The following is a 21,838-nucleotide window of genomic DNA, read 5'->3' on the forward strand; positions in this document are numbered from 1 at the left end:
CTCAAAAAAATAAATAAATAAAAATAAAAAATATAGTATGTTTTTGGCACAAATCTTACTTTGAGCTGGAGGCATTTGTGATTCAATAGATGCAGAAAGAAACCTTCCTAGAGCTGGCGTTCTCTAACTAAAAGTGGAAAGTTCTGAGGAATGAGGACTGTTATAAATCCCACCCCACACCGCACCTTCTCCAGGGAAGTTTCATGGCCGTGAAGAGGACAGAAAGTGAGAACCAAGATGGAACTGAATAAACAAGCTTCACACTGTTAGTTTCCCCATATGCTTACCTTCCCACAGATGCCAACCTTGGAGGCCTAAGAGGCCTAGAATATTATCCTTTGTCTGATCATTTCTCTACAAATTTATTGTTCTTTGTTAAGATGCTACATAAGCCCAAATTCTAACCACCCCTTTGAGTTACCCATCATCAAGTTTCTCCCATGTGTTAATCAACTCTGTTTCTCTCCTCTTAATCTAGTTTGTGTCAGTCTAATTTGCAGGGTCCCAGCCAGAGAGCCTAGGAGGGTAGAGGAAAAAGGTTTTTTATCCCTCCGAATATGTGTGAAATGATACAGAGCAAAATAAGGCGTGGAAGATAGCTATGGAGTGTGGAAGAGGAGGATGCTAAGTTAATTAATTAATTAATTTTTCTTGAGAGGGAGTTTTGCTCTTGTTGCCCAGGCTGGAGTGCAATGGCGTGATCTCAGCTCACCACAACCTCTGCCTCCTGGGTTTAAGCGATTCTCCGGCCTCAGCCTCCCAAGTAGCTGGGATTACAGACATGCGCCACCAAGCCCGGCTAATTGTGTATTTTTAGTAGAGACAGGGTTTCTCCATGTGGGCAGGCTGGTCTCAAACTCCTGACCTCAGGTGATCTACCTGCCTTGGCCTCCCAAAGTGCTGGGATTACAGTCTTGAGCCACCGCGCCCGGCGAGGATGCTAATTTAAAATAAGAAGGTGGGCAAGGCGTGTTCCCAGTGAACATTTCTTTCCTCTTACTTATGGCTGAGGGCATCCTGAAGGTTATATTATGTTTCCTAATAAGGTTTGATTGTGGGCTTGGACAGCTTGAAGTTGGCATTAAATATAGTTGAGTCACCAGAGGATGACAATAAATATGTAAGCATAGGAAAATGCACAGATTGCTGAAGAGGCACATAGGTGTACCAGGCAGGGAACAGGATTGGCCAGATCATGAAATGCCTTCAGTGATGTGATTCCATGCTTCCTATGACGCTCTGGCCCGAGTCAGGAAGAGACACAAAATCCTCCACTGCATTTCCATAACAGCTGTTTCAAGACTGGACTCTTCATAAAACTTTACAGAGATTATTGGATCACAGAGAAATAAACACAGGGGAACAATAAATCTAGACTCTGTACTGTCTAAAATGGTAGCCACTAGACACATGAGGCTATTTTTAAATCTGAGTTTGGCCAGTCGTGGTGGCTTATGCCTGTAATCCCAGCACTTTGGGAGGCTGAGGCGGGTGGATCACCTGAGGTCAGGAGTTTGAGACCAGCCTGGCCAACATGGCAAAACCCTGTCTCTACTAAAACAAAACAAAACAAAACAAAAATTAGCCAGGCATGGGGGTGTATGCCTGTAACCCCAGCTACTCGGGAGGCTGAGGCAAGAGAATCGCTTGAACCCAGGAGGCAGAGGTTGCAGTGAGCCGAGATATTGCGCCACTGCACTCCAGCCTAGGTGATAGAATGGGACTCCATCTCAAAAAAAAAAAAAAAAAAAAAAGTAAAAAATTAAATAAATAAATAAATCTAAGTTCATCAAAATATCATAAAGAAATCACTTCCTCAGTTGTACTGGTCACATGTGGCCCAAGAGTGTAGCCACATGCGGCCCAAGACTGTAATAGCCACATAAGGCTAGTTACTAGTGTAGAGATAGAACATTTCCAACTTGCAGGAAGTTTTATTGGACTGTACTGGTTTAGATAATATTTTTAGAGTGGTGCTACTCAAGTTTAATGTGTACATGTATTACCTCGTGACCTTGTCAAAAAGCAGAGTTTGATTCATTAGGTGCAGAATGATTCATTAGGTGCAGATTCATTCATTCTGCATTTCTAATTAGCTCCCTGGTGATCCGATGCTGCTGGTTCACTACCACCATTTAGTAGCAAGAGCTCAGAGATTGCATCTTGTTCTCCAGTGCTTCTAGAAAATACCTGGTGCCCAGGGAGCTTCTGCATTAACTTCTATTTTTTTTTTTTTTTTGAGATGGAGTTTCGCTCTTGTTGCCCAGGCTGGAGTGCAATGGTGCGATCTCGGCTCACTGCCACCTGGGAGGCAGACTCCCAAGTTCAAGCGATTCTCCTGCCTCAGCCTCCCGAGTAGCTGGGATTACAGGCAGGTGCTACCACACCCGGCTAATTTTTTATTTTTAGTAGAGACGGGGTTTCTCCATGTTGGTCAGGCTGGTCTCGAACTCCTGACCTGAGGTGATCCGCCTGCCTCAGCCTCCCAAAGTGCTGGGATTACAGGCGTGAGCCACCATGCTTGGCCTGCATTAACTTCTTTCACATCCATTCGTGGTCTTATTTTGCCATTGGAGGTAGAATGCCTGCAGGGTATTATCCTCACCGTTCCTTACTAGATGATCATAACTTATGGCAGGTGCATGGACTAAAGACCTAAATGCTTATATTAAATTTCTGGCTTTAGCATTTATCAGCTGTGTGAACTTGAGCAAGTCACTTAACCTCTCTGTGTCTCAGTTTTCATAATCAAAACAGGGAAAATAATAATATCTTAGAATGCTTTCTGAGATTTTGTAAGTAATGTATTCATGTTAGCTATTACATTTATTAATCAAATAGGTTCGATTGCAAGCCTCCTTTTCTCATGTATCTCCTCTGTGCTAGGAACTAGGAAAAATAGATATGATCAAGACACAGTTCCTGACCTTGAAGGGCTCTCAGACAGGATTCCCAGATGTCTGGCATTGGCGTGGGTCTTTGGGAATGAGATTCTAAGTATTGTGTTTAATAAATGAAGCAGATGTCTCACGATGTCAGATGGCACACATTTCTATGAAAATAAATGCTTCTCTTTTACCTTGCTGCTTGGTGCTTCAGTTGACATTATAGGGCAACCCTGCTTGTAGCCTAACCAGGCAGATAAGGTACCTACATGTGCAATAGGAAGATATGTCACCAGGCTCAGTCCCTGCACAATGTCACATTCAAGGAAAGACAGCAAGCAGCCAACATTATTCAAAGCAAATTTATGTTTCTGTGAGTTCCTTTCAAAGCATGTCCCAAAGGATGCAATTTACAACTGAAAGCAGTGCTTTTAAAATCTTTTTGTTTTATTCCTTTCAATTTCCTTTCTCATTCTTTTTCCTACCAAATGTTTACCTGAAATGAAATCTGTGATTCTTTCCTGCCTCTTTCTCTCCATTTCCCATTCATACGGTAGCCAAGCCCTGCCTCTCTCATATGCCCATCCCCTTGCCCATAAACTGTTTCCCTTTCCTTCCTCTTCCTCCAGTCCTGATGTTCACGGGCCCCAGTCCCTTTGTCTTTTTTTTTTTCCTTTTTTTTTTTGAGATGGAGTCTCACTCTGTCACCAGTCTGGAGTGCAGTGATGCAATCTTGACTCACTGCAACCTCCGCCTCCTGGGTTCAAGCGATTCTCCTGCCTCAGCCTCCCGAGTAGCTGGGACTACAGGCGTGGGCCACCATGCCCAGCTAATTTTTTTTTGTATTTTTAGTAGAGAAGAGGTTTCACCATGTTGGCTAGGATGCTCTTGATCTCTTGACCTTGTGACCTGCTCACCTCGGCCTCCTAAAGTGCTGGGATTACAGGTATGAGCCACTGCACCTGGGCCCCCCTTCCTTCCTTCCTTCCTTTTTTTCTTTCTTTCTGAAGGAGTTTCACTCTTGTTGCCCAGGCTGGAGTGCAGTGGCACGATCTCAGCTTACCCCAACCTCCGCCTCCCGGGTTCAAGTGATTCTTCTGCCTCAGCCTCTTGAGTAGATGGGATCACAGGTGCCTGCCACCTTGCCCAGCTACTTTTTTGTATTTTTAGTAGAGACGGGGTTTCGCCATGTTGAGCAGGCTAGTCTTGAACTCCTGACCTCAGGTGACCCGTCCGCCTCGGCTTTCCAAAGTGCTGGGATTACAGGCGTAAACCACTGCACCTGGCACCCCCATTCCCTGTCTACGAGCCTGCACTCCCGGCCCTTTCCACACCTTGCAATCTCTTGGGAGAGGAAATCTGGCTCTGTTTCTCACTGTGTCTGGGTGGAAATCTGCCCATTTCCTGGATAACAAGGGAGAGTCAGAAACAGACCCCGAAAGAAAAAACTTCTTCCTTCATAGAAAGGATCTTGGAGGTTGTGGTATGCAGAATTTTTGGACGTCCCCTAGGATCTCCCGCGGCCCCTGCCCCCCGCCCCGCCGGTGTAGATGCCTTACATAATCCTTGGGCCTGTGAACATGATGGATATTATTCCCGTGACTAGGTTATGTGAGATGACACATTCACTTTAAAAAGGGAGATCATTCAGCCGGGTGCGTTGGCTCACGCCTGTAATCCCAACACTTTGGGAGGCCGAGACGGGCGGATCCCGAGGTCAGGAGATTGAGACCATCCTGGCTAACAAGGTGAAACTCCATCTCTACCAAAATTACAAAAAATTAGCCGGGCGTGGTGGCGGGCGCCTGTAGTCCCAGCTACTCGGGAGGCTGAGGCAGGAGAATGGCATGAACCCGGTAGGCAGAGCTTGCAGTGAGCCGAGATTGTGCCACTGCACTCCAGCCTGGGCAACAGAGTGAGACTCTGTCTCAAAAAAAAAAAAAAAAAAAAAAAAAAAAGGGAGGTCATTCAAGGTGAACTTGACCTAATCAAATGAGCTCTTTAAAAGCAGAAGTGTTTCTCAGGTTGGTCACTGAGGAAGGAGTCAGAGATGTGCTCTTGCTGGGCTGGAAGAGGTAACAACCATGTTGCGAGCTGTCCATGGGGACCATGTGGCAAGGAATGTGGGTGTCCTATAGGAGGTAAGAGAAACCCCTGATAAGGAAACAGGGACCTCAGTCCTACAACCTCAAGGAGCTGACTTTGGCCAACAACTTTAATGACTTTGGAAGTTTATATGGTTTGGCTGTGTCCCCACCCAAATCTCATCATGAATTGTAGCTCCCATAATTCCCAAGTGTTGTGAGAGGAGATAATTGAATCATGGGGGTGGTTTCCCTTATACTGTTCTCGTGGTAGTGAATATGTCTCACGAGATCTGATGGTTTTATAAGGGGAAACCCCTTCCACTTGGCTATCACTTCTCTCTTGTCTGCCACCATGTAAGAAGTGCCTTTCACCTTCTGCCGTGATTGTGAGGCCTCCCCAGCCACATGGAACCGTGAGTCCATTAAACCTCTTTTTCTTTCTAAATGACCCAGTCTCAGGTATGTCTTTATCAGCAGAGTGAAAACAGACTAATACAGAAATGGATTTTTTTCCCCAGAGTATCCAAAAAGAAACACAGACTGGCTGACACCTTGATTTCAGCCTTGTGAGACCCTGCAAACAGAACCCAGCAATGCTGTTGCTGGACCTCTGACCTACATACCACTGTGAGCTAATAAGTGGGAGTTGCTTTGGACCTCTAAGTTTGCCATTATTTGTTACCTAGCAATAGAAAATCAACACAGAGCAAGAGTAAAGACAGATAGGATAAGACAGCTCATACATGAATGATTTCTGTTTCTGTTGGAGATGAAAGTATTACTAGTCACACAGAGAAAGGGCTAGGGGCTAAATGAGCTGCACTGATGGTAAATGCTGATAGAGGCCTATGGAGGGGACCTTGTGGCCCAGGGCAGCAAGAAATGCTGCATTGGAGAGATGGGGTACATGCGAGTGACAATGGGAAGAGTTGGTAGCTGGAGAGAACTGGGAAAGCCTTCAGGTAAGGGGAGTGATTTAAGCACAACTGTGTGAGCAGAAATATGCAAGAGGTGCTATAGGAAGAGTAGGGAGGCTGCCACTGATCCCATCTATCTTCCCTGTCTGACTTGGCTGAGGCCATTCCAGACAATTCTCTGAATATGTTATGCATTTTCACATCTGCAGGCATTTGCAGAGACCTCTTCTTCTGCCTATAACAACTTTTCTGCCTTCCTCCCTTGTCTTTTCAAGACCCAGCCCAAGGCTCCTTCCCTACAGTTCCCAGTCTCAAAAAGGTGAATCTCGAGCCCGTTTTCATGGCTCATAAATAGAAGCTGGGACTTCAATAGACTTTCTCTCTCTTTCTTTCTTTCTTTCTTTCTTTCTTTCTTTCTTTCTTTCTTTCTTTCTTTCTTTCTCTTTCTCTCTTTCTCTCTTTCTTTCTTTCTTTTTCTTTTCTTTCTCTCTCTCTCTTTCTTTCTTTTTTTGATGAAGTCTTGCTCTGTCACCCAGGCTGGAGTGCAGTGGTACTATCTCCGCTCACCACAATCTCCGACTCCTGGGTTCAAGCGATTCTCCTGCCTCAGCCTCCCAAGTAGCTGGGATTACAGGTGTGTGCCACCAAGCCCCGCTATTTTTTTTTTGCATTTTTAGTAGAGACAGGGTTTTACCATGTTGGCCAGGCTGGTCTCGAACTCCTGACCTCATGACCCACCCGCCTCAGCCTCCCAAAGTGCTGGGATTACAGGCATGAGCCACCGCGCCTGGCCTCGACTTGTTCTTTCTACTATCCCACATTTAGTAAAGAAGGGAAAGAAACTCTTTCCCAGGTCAATAATCAACCTCAAATGTATCCTTTTGCTCTAATTCTCATTTCCAAATGGCAGGCTTTCTTACAGCGGGGCCCACCCGCCCAGGCTGGCCAGGCTGACAGCCCAATTCTGTAGGAGCCCTTGGCTGTGAATTTCTACAGTAGCTGAAACTGCGAGGAGCTTCCCGAGGCTCCCCGAGAGAACTGGAGGGCCCCAGGCTCTTCCCACGGCATCCTTGATCATGTTCTCGTTTCCTCCTCCAGAAACGTGGGGCTAAAATAAGCCCAGAAGCTGAGGAAGGGCTGAGTCAGACCCTCAGAGTGGAGCAATCACTGCACGGCTGCTCCTTGTAAGAAACATCCCGTTGCGCCTGAGTTGTTTATTGCCAGGAGCTGTAAGTGAAAAATGAGCTCTCTTAAGCCAGGCTGGGAGCAGGCTCCTCTTCCTGGAGATGGCACGATGCTTCACAGCTTGGAAACGTTCTGTGCCAGTATAAAAGGGGTGGCATACATCCCTCGGAGCAGGAAAGCCTGATGACAAAGGGGAAGGAGCCTGGGCTGGAAGCCAAGTGGCACTAGGGTTAGTCTCAACTTCATTGCTTACCAGATATGTCAAATGAATGATACCCTTACCTGCTGAGAGTCTACCTTTTCTCAGTTGCAAGATTAAAATGTAAGCCAGATGATGTCTGAGTTTCTTTCTGGCCCCGGCTTTCTTTTGGTTTGTCCAAGCAGCTCCGCAAACTCACTCTCAGGCCCTAAATGATGTGGGCTGTTAACGGTGGAGAAAGGAATTCCGACGTGGCCTATGGCAGCCGTTGCTTCATTGAGTCTGGTTCAGTCAGCACCCACTGATTGGGCACCTCTGCTGTCCAGGCATCTGGGAAATGGCTGGGGATACAGAGGTGAAGAAGACAGGGTTTCTTCAGGAACTCACTTTCCAGCAGGTGAGAGTATGAGTAGAAAAGGTGGACAAAACAAAAAGCTGCTTAACAACACAAACTCCTTTGCTAAGCCCTGAATGAATGATCCGGACAAGCTGCTCAGAATGAGGAACGGTTCACAAGAGTCCAGGTGGGAGTGGGCTTTAGCCGGAAATTCAATTCTGTTACCATTAGGTTGGTACAAAAGTAATTGCAGTTTTCGCCATTCCTTTTTTTTTTTTCTTTTTTTGAGACGGAATCTTGCTCTGTCGCCCAGGCTGGAGTGCAGTGGCACGATCTCGGTTCACTGCAACCTCTGCCTCCCAGGTTGAAGCGATTCTCCTGCCTCAGCCTCCGGAGTAGCTGGGATTACAGGCATGTGCCACCATGCCCAGCTAATTTTTGTATTATTAGTAGAAATGGGGTTTCACCATGTTGCCCAGGCTGGTCTTGAACTCCTGAAGTCAGGTGATCCACCCACCTCAGCCTCCCAAAGTGCTGGGATTACAGGCGTGAGCCACTGCGCCCAGCCACACCATTACTTTTAAATAGCAAAAACCGCAATTACTTTTGCACCAACCAAATAGATTTTTCCCATCTCAGTGAAGTTTTATTGAGAAAGAGGTCAGTAAGAAATGATTAGAGAGGTCAAAATTTACCTTCTTCAGATGATCTAACATTTTAATGTCCATGTAGTTTTTCCCAGACAGCAAGAATAATTCAGGGTTGGTTTTCATCCCAAAGTTTCCCCATACTTAAGAGAAAAACCATTCACACGCAGTGATGGGGGCCACTTAACTGAAAATACTTCTAATGCAAAAGAGTAAGAGACTAAATCATTACTGAAGAGTTCAGGTCCTATTTCAATGATACTCTCTCTCTCAGATTCACCACAGTCAGCACTTCCAAAATGTCTTTCAAACATTTAAAAAACATTTATTAATGACATTTGCATTTTAAGCCATAATTAAAACAAATGTTAAGATTTAATGACATATTTTAATATTTCCAAATATCACACTGCATGCAATGGCTCATGCCTGTAATCCCAGCCCTTTGGGAGGCCAAGGCAGGCAGATTGCTTGAACTCAGGAGTTTGGAAGCAGCCTGGGCAACATGGCAAAACCCCATCTCTACGAAAATTAGCTGGGAGTGGTGGCATGCACCTGTAATCCCAGCTACTTGCGGGGCTGAGGTAGGAGACTTGCTGGAGCCCAGGAGGTCGAGGCTGCAGAGATCCACGTTCGCACCACTGCACTCCAGCCTGGGTTACAGAGCGAGACTTTGTCTCAAAAAAAATCATTTAAAAAGCTACATTTAGTCAGGCGCAGTGGCTCATGCCTGTAATCCCAGCACTTTAGGAGACTGAAACTGGAAAATCACTTGAGGCTGGTAGTTTGAGACCAGCCTGGGAAACAAAGCAATATCCTGTCTCTACAAAAAATGTTTTAAAAATGAGCTGGGCACAGTGGCACATACCAGTTGACCTAGCTACTAGGGAGGCTGAGGAGCAAGGATCGCTTGAGCCCAGGAGGTTGAGGCTGCAGTGAGTTATGATTGTGCCACTGTACCCCACAGGAAGACCCTGTCTCTAAAATAAATAAATATTTTTAAAGGCTTTATTTAATTTTATGATTTTCTCATTGGGATTTTTTTTTTGCCATCAACTTTTTAGTTTGAAGCTTGAAAAATGAATTAAAATAAGCAAAATTTGAGACATCATGCATATAGAAAATGAATAAAACAAATGGAAGACTGAATAAAATGTACTATATTATATATTCATAAAGCAAACGCTATATAACCACCAATCAGGTTCTATGGATTCCCTCTTTTTTCATCTAAATTACATGTGTGCCGTTGTAACTATAACTGTAATGCAGCACATAAGGCACCTAGGATGCTTCCTGATATACACTCAGTACTCAGCGTGTACTCATCCTAATTGTGAGTCACTGATTCATTCAACAAACATTCACTGAGTTTATATTATATGCCAGCTTTGTATCAAGCACTGGAGAAAGAAAAATGGCTAAACATAGTGCTCCATCCCATCTCCACGAGGGAGACAGACACGTGCAACTGAAAGTGATTACAGCTCAAGTTAGTGGAGAGCTCTCCCCAGTGACCCCAGGGCATAGAAGAAGGAGTGGTTTTTCTGCAGAAGGAAAAGGAGTTTGCCCATGAGCACGGTGGGAAGAGAGCTGTTGTTCCATCACAAGTAATGACATGAACAGAGTCACAGAGACCTGGGTGAGCAGCCTCATCCCTGTGCACGGTGGGGCAGGAAGGATGGGGGTTGGGGGATGGATCAGGGAAAGCTGAAGTTTTTCTTTGGAAACAGGGGAACTAGTAGAATCCTGTAAGTACATCAACTCTATGGCGAAGATTTTTCTGACAATGGGGTGGAAGTTTTGAGCTTATGTGGAAACATCATTTACCTCCACATAGTAATAATAATAATTACTAATATTATTATTAGCAATTATACTACTGTTGCTGAGCCTCCTGAGCATTGCATATGTATTATGTCATTTATCACCACAAAAAGCCCCTGAGGTGTCTACTATTATTACTGAGAGGCAGTAGAATTTAATTATTATGAATGCATGCTCTGAAGCTAGATTATTTGTGTTAAGGTCCTGGCTCCACATTTAGGCAAGTAGCTTAATCTCCCCATGACCTAGTTTTCTTATCTTTATAATGAGGTAATAAAAGTGTCAAGCTGATGAGGTTGTGGAAAGGATTTAATAAAATTCTACCTGTGAAATGTTTAAAATAATGTCTGTCCAATACATTGTGTTCAATGAAGGTTGCCTTTTATTGACCCATTTCACAGAGGAGAAAACTGAGGCTTGGGGAGAGGAGGTCACATTTCAAAGGTCACCTGGCCAGTAATTTGAAGGTTCTGGATTCAAACCCAGGAAGTCTCAACACAGAGCCCCATCTCTCTACCATCTAACAAGCCAGGTTTGGTTGCTAAAGTTGGGGCTTTCTCTGGCAAACTTTTGACATGCTTAACTCTGTTTCAAGGACTTTCTTTTTTAAATTAAAAAAAAAAAAAGTTAACAGACAGGATCTGGCTCTGTTGTCCAGGCAGGAGTGCAGTGGCTATTTATAGGAATGATCATGGCACACTGCAGCCTGGAACTCCTGAGCTCAAGTGATCTTCCCGTCTCAGCCTCCTGACTAGCTGGGACTGCAGGCATGCACCACCATGCCTGATTCAAGGACCTTCTTAAGTCATCGCCTGCCAAAAGGTCCAGCCAGAAGGGGATGAGGAAATGTACCTTTATTTGCTTATTGCTACCTAAAGTTACCATTAATTAATTAATGGATTTTATCAAACATTTATTCACTTATGGATATAGTTTCAATGTTTGCCACCTCCAAATCTCATGTTGAAATGTGATCTCCAATGTTGGAGGTGGGGCCTAGTGGGAGTGGGAGATGTTTGAATTACGTGGGCAGATCTCTCAAGAATGACTTGGTGTCCTCCCTGCAATAATGAGTTCACTGGAGATCTGGTTGTTTAAAGGAGCCTGGCATCTCCTCCTCTCCTTCTTGCTCCCGCTCTTGCCATGTGACACCACCTGCTCCACCTGCATCTTCTGCCATAATTGTAAGATTCCTGAGGCCCTCACCAGAAGCAGATGCCAGCAGCATGCTTATTGCACAGTCTGTAGAACCGTGAGCCAAATAAATCTCTGTTCTCTGTAAATCACCCAGTCTCAGGGAATCCTTTACGGCAATGCAAAGTGAACTAACACGCTTACTCATCCCCTAAGTGTTCAGCATCAAATTTTGTCATTTCACATAAATTATCTCAGATACTGTCCACCACCAAAACTGTCTGACTATTCCCATTTTCTAAGTGGGGACATTGATGCTCAGAGGAGTTAAATAACCTGTTCAAGGCCAGACAATTGCTATTGACATTGCAATGTCTACCCCACACCATCTGCAGGGGTGGGGCCTGATTAATGTGAGCTAGTCACAGAAATCACATCTCCATTTCCAGTGGGAGAATTCAGGCCTAAGCCAATTAGTGCAGAGCATCCTGCCAGCTGTAGGGATTAGTTCAGAAATGAGCGTACGTTTTGAATAAAAAAGGTGCAAGGGGAAATTTTCTGGGGCTTCTGCAGATATTGTCCTCTCTCTCTGGAGAAAGCATCAGCAGGAGCCAGTTTGATCCTCTGACATTGCTGTGTGTGGATATGAGTTCTGGGGATACTGCAGCCACCTCACAAGAAGCTTGTGCGTGACACTGGTGCAGCGGTGGGAATGGCCAGGAGCATCACAGAGACCACTGGATAAAGCCAATCCTGAAGCTTCCTGCTATGTGGGCCAACAGATGTCCTTATTGTTCCAACGGTCTGAGTAAGAATTTCTGCACAGTTCGCACAGCGCGGAATTTGGTTCCAAGTCCAAGTCCAAACTGGGGCTACTCCCCAATCCGTGCCTTCCTACCATGCACGGCTGCAGACTTGGTTCTTCTAGTTGTTTACCATCTGGCAGGAGGTTTTTGGCATTCTGTTGTAGTGGCAGATTTGGTCATCAGTCACAATGCCAAGCTGATGGTGGTTTGAGTCATTGCTTTTCTGTTGGCCTATTTCTTTCATAATAAATATGTATCGCTTAGATAATAAAAACAACAAAGGGGAAAATTCCATGTGAGGCAGAGGTAAACAAAAAAGCTCTGCTTTTAGGAGGCTTATATAAAGATCAAGCTGTATGATGTGTGTTGAGCATGCTTTAAAGAATGCCAAACTGGGTGGGGCCCAAGACAGATAAAAGACACTAAGCCTTTTATCATACCACTAGGCACCAGTGACTTTTGAGACCTGGCAATTAATTAGGAGGAGCTGGTTGTAGTTATTATCAAACCTCCCTAATTTCCCCAAGTGAATGGGTGAGGGCTGGGTTGAGGAGAGATGGGGGAGAGGTGGTAAGAATCCTCTGAAGCCCATTTCTGGAACCTTGGTTTCTCAGGATCGCCGCTTCCTTGGTGGATTTCCTTTCTGCTCTCCTCCAAGTGTCCCTTGTGAGACTCTGACTCCGTAGGACTGGCCCCAGCTAACCCTTTGTTGCTAAGGATGTATCATCTTGCTGGGCTTTACCAAGGGCGTTAATAAAACAGCTTCTATGATTATAGCCACACAAAGGTAGGCAAGGAAAAGACCCTAATTTGGAAAGCAGAAACCCACTCTGCAGCTGGAGCCCAACTCCTGACCTTCCCACCCCCAAAGGCATAGGATAAGATTCCTTTCCCCTAGCTGATTGGATTAATTTCAGCCTCACTGACAATTCCCCCCGTCCAGACTCATTTATCTACTGTTGTTTTTAACCTCAAAAAACGTCATGGCAACAAAGATCAGAGGAAAGATCACAGTGTCGAGTCAGAGAGACATATGCATTTGCATCCCACCTCTGCCTCTTGCTAGAACTCTGATTTTGAGAAGGTTGCTTGAGGTCAGCTCCCTCATCTGTAGGGGGTTGTGATGAAATAAATGATGTAATAGAAACCTTATAAATGCATGAAATTACTGAGGAATTTATGTGCTTCTGGAGGAATTATGGGGCGGGGAAGCAAGAGAGATGCCTTTATTTTCTCCCAGGAATGACAGTGGAAAGCAAGGAAGAGTGTTACAACTGAGGGAACAGACAGTGGAAGGCCTGGGGACAAATAAAGTCCAATATAGCTGGAACGTAGAATATGGGAAATAAATGAAGGCTTGAGATCTGAGGGTTCAAAGCCATATAAGGACTTAGCACATTATCCCAAGAGAAGGGAGGAGCCATTGAAGGGTTTTAAGCAAGGGAATAGCTTGACATGTGTTTTTAAAACTTTACTGTGCCTGTGTAGAGAATAGTTTGCAGGGGGTCAAGGCTGGAGCTGGCAGCCCAGTTAGGAGGCTGATGAACTAGTCCAGAGGATGGGTGGTGGCCTGAGCCAGAAAGACAAAAGTGGGATCGAGAAAAGTGGATGGCTGTGCCACTTGCTATGGCTTCAAGGAAGTTACTTAACCTCACTTAAGTTACTTAACCTTCACTGAGTTAAGTCTCACATTTTTCCCCATTGTTTATGGAGGACAGTAATAGTATGTGCATCCTAGAGTTTTTAGGGGATTAAACGAGAGAATGCATATACAGCGCATAGCACAGCATCTGCCACATCGTATGCGCTGGCAAGATGGAAGCGACTATTACCATTGTTAGTAGTGGAAGTCATGTTGGCAAATATCACAGGGCGCATTCGGGGCATGCTGCTTAAATGAATGAAATAAGTGAATAGACAGTGAGTGCCAGAAAAGGCCCTTTTCAAGACTGAAATCTTGTTTAAAAGGTATAAATAGTCCTGGTGAGGAAGGACAGAGAGAGGTAGGAAGGGTTGTTGTGTAAAGAGGTCAATGTGCTCTCTTGGTGAGCTCTTCTGAGAGTTAGGACACAAAGAGAATGTGTCCAAATGGTGAACAGGTGGGGCAAGCAGGCTGGAGTCCTTTTGAAGAGGGTCAGGAAACAAAAGCCTGCAAGCAGCACAGATGTGTGAAAAAGCTATTTTTAGTCTGGTACAAAAAGCCCACAGGAGAAGTACCACCCCTAACCGTAGTCCTCTTTGTCTCTGTCTTCTCTGCCAGGAAAATCAATCATCATGTCAGGAGGGCAGGTGTTAAAATTGGTCAGAGGAAATAAAAATCCAAGAGAAATGAAGATACAGTGAGAGAATGTCATGCTCTATTAAATGCATTCAAGTCTCGTTGCTCAGAGAAATGACATGTTAGGGTTCAACTCAAAATATAAATGTTTTGTTGTTTTTGTAGGTTTTAAAGGAATATATGCTCATTTTAAGACTCAAACTATCAATAGAAACTATTTTAAGCACCAACTATATGGCAGGAAGTAAGTCTAGAGCCTTATGTATATTTACGTCACTTAATTATCTTTTTTTTTTTTTTTTTTTGAGATGGAGTTTCACTCTTGTTGCCCAGGCTGGAGTGCAATGGCATGATCTCAGCTCACCACAACCTCTGCCTCCCAGGTTCAAGCAATTCTTCTGCCTCAGCCTCCTGAGTAGCTGGGATTACAGGCATGTGCCACCACGCCTGGCTAATTTTGTATTTTTAGTAGAGACGGGGTTTCTCCATGTTGGTCAGGCTGGTCTCGAACTCCCGACCTCAGGTGATCCACCCGCCTTGACCTCCCAAAGTGTTGGGATTACAGGCGTGAGCCACTGCACCCAGCCGTCATTTAATTATCACCCAAACTTGTGTGCATATTATCACTTACCCATTCTACAACTAATGAGCCCAAGACCAAGAGAGCTTAAGTGACTTGCCCAGAGTTGCACAGCTTGTTCTATGACCTGCTCATTTGGACAAGTTACTTAATCTCCCTATGCCTCAGTTGGTTCAACTGTTACAGAGGATAAGGACCCAACTGGTTGGGCTGACTTGAGTTTCAAATTCTCTCTCCCAGTAGACTGAAGTGTGCTTAGACATTAGAACCACACTCTCGTTCAAAATCTTCTTTTACAACTTACTAACTTTATGTCTTTGGGCAAGCCATATAGCCGTGTGCCTCAGCTCCTCTTCTGAAAACTAGGGATTTTCTTTTTTTTTTTTTTTGAGACGGAGTCTCGCTCTATCGCCCAGGCTGGAGTGCAGTGTTGCGATCTTGGCTCACTGCAAGCTCCGCCTCCCGGGTTCACGCCATTCTCCTGCCTCAGCCTCCCAAGTAGCTGGGATTACAGACACACAGCACCACGCCCAGCTAATTTTTCTATTTTTTTTTTTTAGTAGAGATGAGGTTTCACTATGTTGGTCAGGCTGGTCTCAAACTCCTGACCTCGTGATCCGCCTGCCTCAGCCTCCCAAAGTGCTGGGATTACAGGCGTGAGCCACCGCGCCCGGCCGAAAACTGGAGATCTTAATAGTGACAATGGGCTGTTGCAAGGATTAAATTAGCTAATAGAGGCTAAATGCTTATAATAGTACCTGCTCTCTCATAGCTAATAGCTGATATTAATATAATTGGTAGCAGTAGTATTTCTATCCTGTCTTGTTAGGACAACATAACTTATCCCAGCAAGGTTCATTAGAAGAAAAAGAACGGACTTCCCAGGGCAGGCAGATCTGTTCTGAGAATTCAAGGAGCTCACACCTGTGAAACACTCAGAATAGTGCCTGGAAAATAGTCATGCTTATGCCCATGTTTAGTTATTATTATCTATAAATTCCACAACACAGCTCTTAACTTCTATTTGCTACTTCTTCACACTGCATTATGCCTAAAAAAACTCATCATCCAGAGACAGATATTGTTGATAGTTTCTTGTGTATCTTCCCTTACTTTTGAAGCAACTGCATAAATGTGTTTCTATGCCAGGTTCACATTTAACTGAGTTAAACATAGTGGGTGTGAACTCTGGCATTGGCAGATAGTGGCTCTGTGGCCTTAGGGAGGTAATTTCACTTGCCTGAATCATAGTTTCCTTATCTGCAAAATGAGGATAATAATCTCATAGAGTGGTAGTGAGGACAAAACATACCATTTTAAGGCACTTAGAACAGAATCTTGTCACATAGGCTTGAAAAAGACTTAGTAATTTAAAACAGATGTTCTATGCAATGGCCAGAGTAATCCTTATAAATCAGATTGTGTTACTTTTCTGCTTAAACTCTGAAATTTTCTTATTGTATTTGGAATTAAATTCATATGCCTTACCTTGGTCTATGTGAAGGGTCTTGGTGTCCTGAAAAATGTTATTTTCATTTGCTACCTAGTTCAGAACTGAGGGAGATATAGATGAATGTTTGGTGTGTGTCGTTTACATCTGTGGGATAGTAGATATTACAAACTAAATTGTGCCTCTCACCCACCCAAATTAACATGTTGAAGTTCTGACCCCCCATTATGACCATATTTGGAAGTAGGGCCTTTAAAGCGCTCAAAAATATTCCAGTTGCAGTCCTAGCATATGCAGACATGAGAAGTGGGGGATATGAATTTTCCTACTAACAATCTCCAAGGCCAGGCCGGGCACAGTGGCTCACGGCTGTAATCCCAGCACTTTGGGAGGATGAGGAGGATGGATCACGAGGTCAGGAGTTCAAGACCAGCCTGGCTAAGATGGTGAAACCCATTCTCCATCGCTCCTGCCTGGGCGATAGAGTGAGACTACCTCTCAAAGAAAAAAAAAAAAAAGAATCTACAAGGCCATGAAGGAGAGGCCCTAATTCAATATGACTGGTGTCCCTCTAAAGAAGAGAAGAGGCCAGGCGAGGTGGCTCATGCCTGTAATCCCAGCACTTTGGGAGGTCAAGGCGGGGGAATCACGAAGTCAGGAGATGGAGACCATCCTGGCCAACATGGTGAAACCTCGTCTCTACTAAAAATAAAAAAAAATTAGCTGGGCATGGTGGCACACACCTGTAGTCCCAGCTACTCGGGACGCTGAGGCAGAAAAATTGCTTGAACTGGGAGGCGGCGGTTGCAGTGAGCCAACATTGCACCACTGCACTCCAGCCTGGCAACAGAGCAAGACTCTGTCTCAAAAAAAAAAAAAAAAAAAAGAGATACCAGGGATGCACCTATAGAGAAAAGGCCGTGTGAGAACACAGCATGAAAGTGACCATCTGTAAGACATAAAGAGAGGCCTCAGGAGAAACCAAACCTACTGACACCTCCATCGTGGACTTCCAGTCTCTAGAACTGTGAGCGAACAAACTTCTGTTGTTTAAGTCATGCAGTCTGTGGTATTTTGTTACGGCATCCCTAGAAAACTAATACACTAGGTGTCCTAGGACAGCACCCAAAAAACAATCTTATATTCCAGATGCCAGGCAAAGGTGGACATCGACGAGGGTGGACCTAGGGACTTAAACAATGGCAGGACACCGTCTTTCTCTCCATATTTCAGATCCATCCACCTTCTTTTCCCGCAGGAGCTCTGACTGCAGCAGGTCGATGGCGACTGGCACTCCTAACCCTCCATCCTTAACAGGGCGTTTTGCAAAAGGAGGGGAGATTTGCTGTTTTCCAGCCACCTAAGATCAAACCTTAAGGTACTCTTTTGCCTTTCCCTGATTAGTTTCTTTTTTGTTTTTTTTGAGACGGAGTTTTGCTCAGTCGCCCAGGCTGGAGTGCAGTGGCTCGATCTCGGCTCACTGCAAGCTCCGCCTCCCGGGTTCACGCCATTCTCCTGCCTCAGCCTCCAGAGTAGCTGGGACTACAGGCGCCCGCCACCACGCCCAGCTAATTTTTTGTATTTTTTTTTTTTTTAGTAGAGACGGGGTTTCACCGTGTTAGCCAGGATGGTCTCGATCTCCTGACCTCGTGATCCGCCCGCCTCGGCCTCCCAAAGTGCTGGGATTACAGGCGTGAGCCACCGCGCCCAGCTCCCTGATTAGTTTCAATGATTATTTCTGGGCCAATCACTGGCCAGACAGCCTCATGCTCTGGGTTGAAACAAAAGGGAACATGATTTTTAGCACGCTGTGAGGTTTTCATAAAGTGGGGGTGGAGTTGGTTGTTGAGGGGAGGTGGGGATTCCTATGTAAGTCAGAGCTTAGGAAAATAGAGCATACTACATGTTTTACAAGTAGCACGGGATTTAAAACAGAGCATTAGATGCTTCTAAAACTACAGTAAGGGGCAGAGGGAAATAAATCAGGAAAGGTCACAACTAATCTTTGTATGCTGCTAGTTTTCAAGGAAACAGGAAGGTGGAGGGCCCCAGGAAACTGCTGGCAATGGCAGGTATCTTCAGTACTGTGGTGAGTGAGTCACAGGAAAATGCCTAGAGGCCTCTCTGAGTCTCATGTCTACTGAAGTTCGCATATCTTCTTGCTGTTTCCAAAGGAGCAGTGATTCTCTGTCTATCAATCATCTACCTTCCTAGTTACCTTCCTACTTACCTATCTAATTCTGGTCTTCCAAAACTTGTGTAAATTCCTCACACTGGCAGACTCTAGTTTTCAGAGATTCTGGGATATGTGGCTCACAGTCACAGGTTTCTGGCCCCTTTGATACATGGAAGAGCATAGAAGGGAGGATGGCATTGAGTTGCTAACACAGTCTGCTGCAGATCCTCAGAGTAAAGGATGTTGGACAAACAACACCCATGCTACCTTGAGTCATAGATATTGTAAGCACTTCTCTCACATTATTAACTTTTTTTTTTTTTTTTAACATGTGAGGGTCCTAGGGGAGCTTAATCTCTTTGAACAGCTTAGAGGGTCTTAGAGACATTGAGGAGATTGGGGAGGGTCAGGATACAGGAAAACATTTTCATTTCCAAATAGAGAAAGAAAATCGAAGTCATAAGCTATAAGTTGGTGAGCTTGGTGGAAATTCTAGGAGAGTTTATAGACAGGAACATCAAGAAGATGGTACATGAGGACTTCGAAAATAAAACAGTGCTCACAAAGAGGCATCAGACGTTTACAAAGAACAAATTGTACCAAAATCACCTTATTTATTTGTTTGTTTATTTATGAATGACTGAGGGGATTACTGGACCCATGGAGCATGTGGATTTTCATGAGGCATTTACCAAAATCTCATTATGTCTCTGTGAACAAATGGCAAAATGCTGGTGGCACTACTGCTAAGTGCAATCATAACTGAAGGGCTGTGTCCTGAGAATGTTGACTAATGGGCCCATGTCAGCCTGGAAAAATGGTCTCAGTTAAGGAGTCCTGGCTTTGACTTTGTGCAGTTCAACCTTTTGATCATTGTTTCTTTTGAGAGCAGTGATGGCTCTCTAATCAAATCTGAGGATGCACCAAGGCAGAGAGAAAGGATAAATGGATTGTATAATAAAATTAGGACCAGAGGCAGGGTGGGGACACACATCCAAACTATATCCCAGCAAGGAAAAAATACATGTTTCTCAGGAGGAGGCAGTTGGACAAAGCATTAGAAAAGAAGTATTATGGCTGGGCACAGTGGCTCATGCCTATAATTCCAGCAGAGTGGAAGGCCAGAGTGGAAGGATCGCTTGAGCCCAGGAGTTCAAGACCAGCCTGGGCAACATCATGGAACCTCATCTCTACAAAATAAAAATAAAAATAAAAAATTAGCTGGGCATGGTGGAATGCACCTGCAGACCCAGCTACACAGGAGGTTGAGGTGGGAAGATTGCTTGGGCCTGGGAGGTCAAGGCTGCAGTGAGCCATGATCATGCCACTGCACTCCAGCCTGGGTGACAGAGAGGGACCCTGCCTCAGAAAGAAAAAAGAAAAAAAAAAAAAAAAGAAAAGAGGTATTACAGACAGGAAGAAGAGAGACAAAAAAGGACAATTCCCACCCACAGTATCTCATTACCACTTCTGGCTGAGTGTTGATTCTTTTAAATAGGTAGTGGCGGTCCTCCAAAGGTTCACAGATGTAGGCTGTGGTATCCTCCTTTTGCACATGTGACTCATAAGAAACAGGTCTAATCTTGGTACCCAACCAGTTATTTCCTGGAGTTTAACAGTAGTGCAGGTACTCAATACCACCTGATAATGACCTTTCTATTTTGGTTGTAATTGATCCTCAGAGGATCCATCTTTATAAGGTTTCAGTAAGACTAAGTCTCCTAGTTGAATGGGAGAGTTTATTTTTTTCCCCTGTGGGAGGAGGCAATACTACATTTCCATATTCTTGAAGGGCCTTTTGAATCTCGTCTAAGTTGACAATGTGGGTGAACAATCTATGTGTCTCTTCATCAAACAGGAGGTCTAAAGTTAACAAGGGACTTCCATTAAGTCATTTCAAATGGACTAAGCTTTAAGGTTTCCTTTGGAGCAAAAGGGCTATGGGTAGGAGAGGAACTGGGCCTCTGAGGTCTCTCGAGAGTTTTGCTAATGTCCTTTTAAAAATATGGCTGGCTTTTTCTACCTTCCCAGAGTATTGAGGCCTCCAGGAGGAGTGAAGATGATAGGTAATGTCTAAGCTAAGGAAAACTGCTGGGTCACCTTAGCTGTGAAGGAAGGTCCGTTATGACTTTGCAAATATTTTAGTAACCCAAATCTTGGGATGATCTCTTTAAGTAAGAATCTGGACATTTCTAATGCTTTTATATATTTTTTTTTATTTTTTGGTCTTTCTAGGGAAAGCTTTTATCCACCCAGTGAAAGTGCATATGAATACTAGCAAATATTTTAGTTCCCTATAAAGTGGCATCTGGGTGAAATCTATTTGCCTGTTTTCCCCAAGGTATGTTTCTCAGTGTTCTATAGGTTTGAGTAGGGTGGCGGCATGGGGTGGCTTCCTGGCCTGTTATGGGCACAAAGTCCCCAGGCCCTGATGACTTTTTTTTTTCCCATGGTCTAGAACAGTTTCTTTCCCAAGATTTGAGAAGCCAATTTGAATAGATTCCTGTCCCAAATGTGAAGAGTCATGGAAATATTTCATTATTTTCAACTGCTTAGCTCCAGGGAGAAAGAGTTTGTTGCTTTCTGGCAACCACCCTGAGGGGTCTTTTTGTAAGCCTTTCTGTTCTGCCCACTTAATTTTTTCAAGGGTATTGTAGGGTGCCACTGACACGTGTGGAGTGCCTGGTATTAATGCAGTGACCTGTAATGCTGGTATTTTTTTCAGTTGTGGCCTTGGCTGCCCTGTCTGCCAGAGCATTTTCTCTGATAATCGAGGTGTCTCCTTTTGATGTCCCTTGCAGTAGATAACTGCTGTCTCCTTTAGGAGCTGAACAGCAGCTAAAAATTCCAAGATCTCAGAGAGATGTTATATGGGGGATACCTTGGCTGTTAATAGTCTCCTTTTTTCTTCATATGGCCACATGAGCATGGTGTACCAGGAACCCATATTTGAAATTAGTAAATATATTGACTCTTGCAGTAAAAAAAAGTATATTTTTTATATACCTAAGAGTAAATATATATACATACACACACTCTCTTAAGTCTATATATATGTATATATACACTCTTAAGTCTTTTCTCAATTGGAGGACCCTAATTAGAGTAATTAATTCTGCTTTTTGAGTGGAAATCTGGAAAAGTAAGTCTTTGGCTACCATGACTTCTTGCTGGATAACCACATCATAAACTGCCTTTTCTTTCTTTCTTTCTTTTTCTTTCTTTTCTTTCTTTTTCTTTCTTTCTTTCTTTCTTTCTTTCTTTCTTTCTTTCTTTCTTTCTTTCCTTCTTTCTTTCTTTCTCTCTCTCTCCTTCCTTCCTTCTCTCTCT

General features: G+C 44.2%; 1 protein-coding gene and 1 long non-coding RNA gene across 2 annotated transcripts in view, besides 1 other annotated feature; one reads left to right on the forward strand and one right to left on the reverse strand.

Moving 5' to 3' along the window:
• The window catches only part of LARGE1 (LARGE xylosyl- and glucuronyltransferase 1), an 856,162-nt gene that overhangs the window by 31,955 nt on the left and 802,369 nt on the right, over positions 1-21,838 (reverse strand). The gene's annotated exons all lie outside the window — the stretch shown is intronic.
• LINC01640 (long intergenic non-protein coding RNA 1640) lies at positions 9,912-17,677 on the forward strand. The gene is made up of 4 exons (NR_134617.1): positions 9,912-10,008; positions 10,486-10,616; positions 11,792-12,026; positions 17,591-17,677. It is a non-coding gene; the product is annotated as a long intergenic non-protein coding RNA 1640 (long non-coding RNA).
• Positions 11,622-12,821: an enhancer, noted in NCBI's record as "CDK7 strongly-dependent group 2 enhancer chr22:33506225-33507424 (GRCh37/hg19 assembly coordinates)". NCBI's record gives its function as "activates an origin of replication core promoter dependent on BRD2, BRD4, P300/CBP, MED14 and CDK7 cofactors, with strong dependence on CDK7, by STARR-seq in HCT116 cells {active_cell/tissue: HCT116}" and the evidence as "EXISTENCE:reporter gene assay evidence [ECO:0000049][PMID:35650434]".

The sequence above is a fragment of the Homo sapiens genome, chromosome 22 (genome assembly GCF_000001405.40).
Source record: "Homo sapiens chromosome 22, GRCh38.p14 Primary Assembly".
In the NCBI taxonomy this organism is placed as follows: Eukaryota; Metazoa; Chordata; class Mammalia; order Primates; family Hominidae; genus Homo; species Homo sapiens.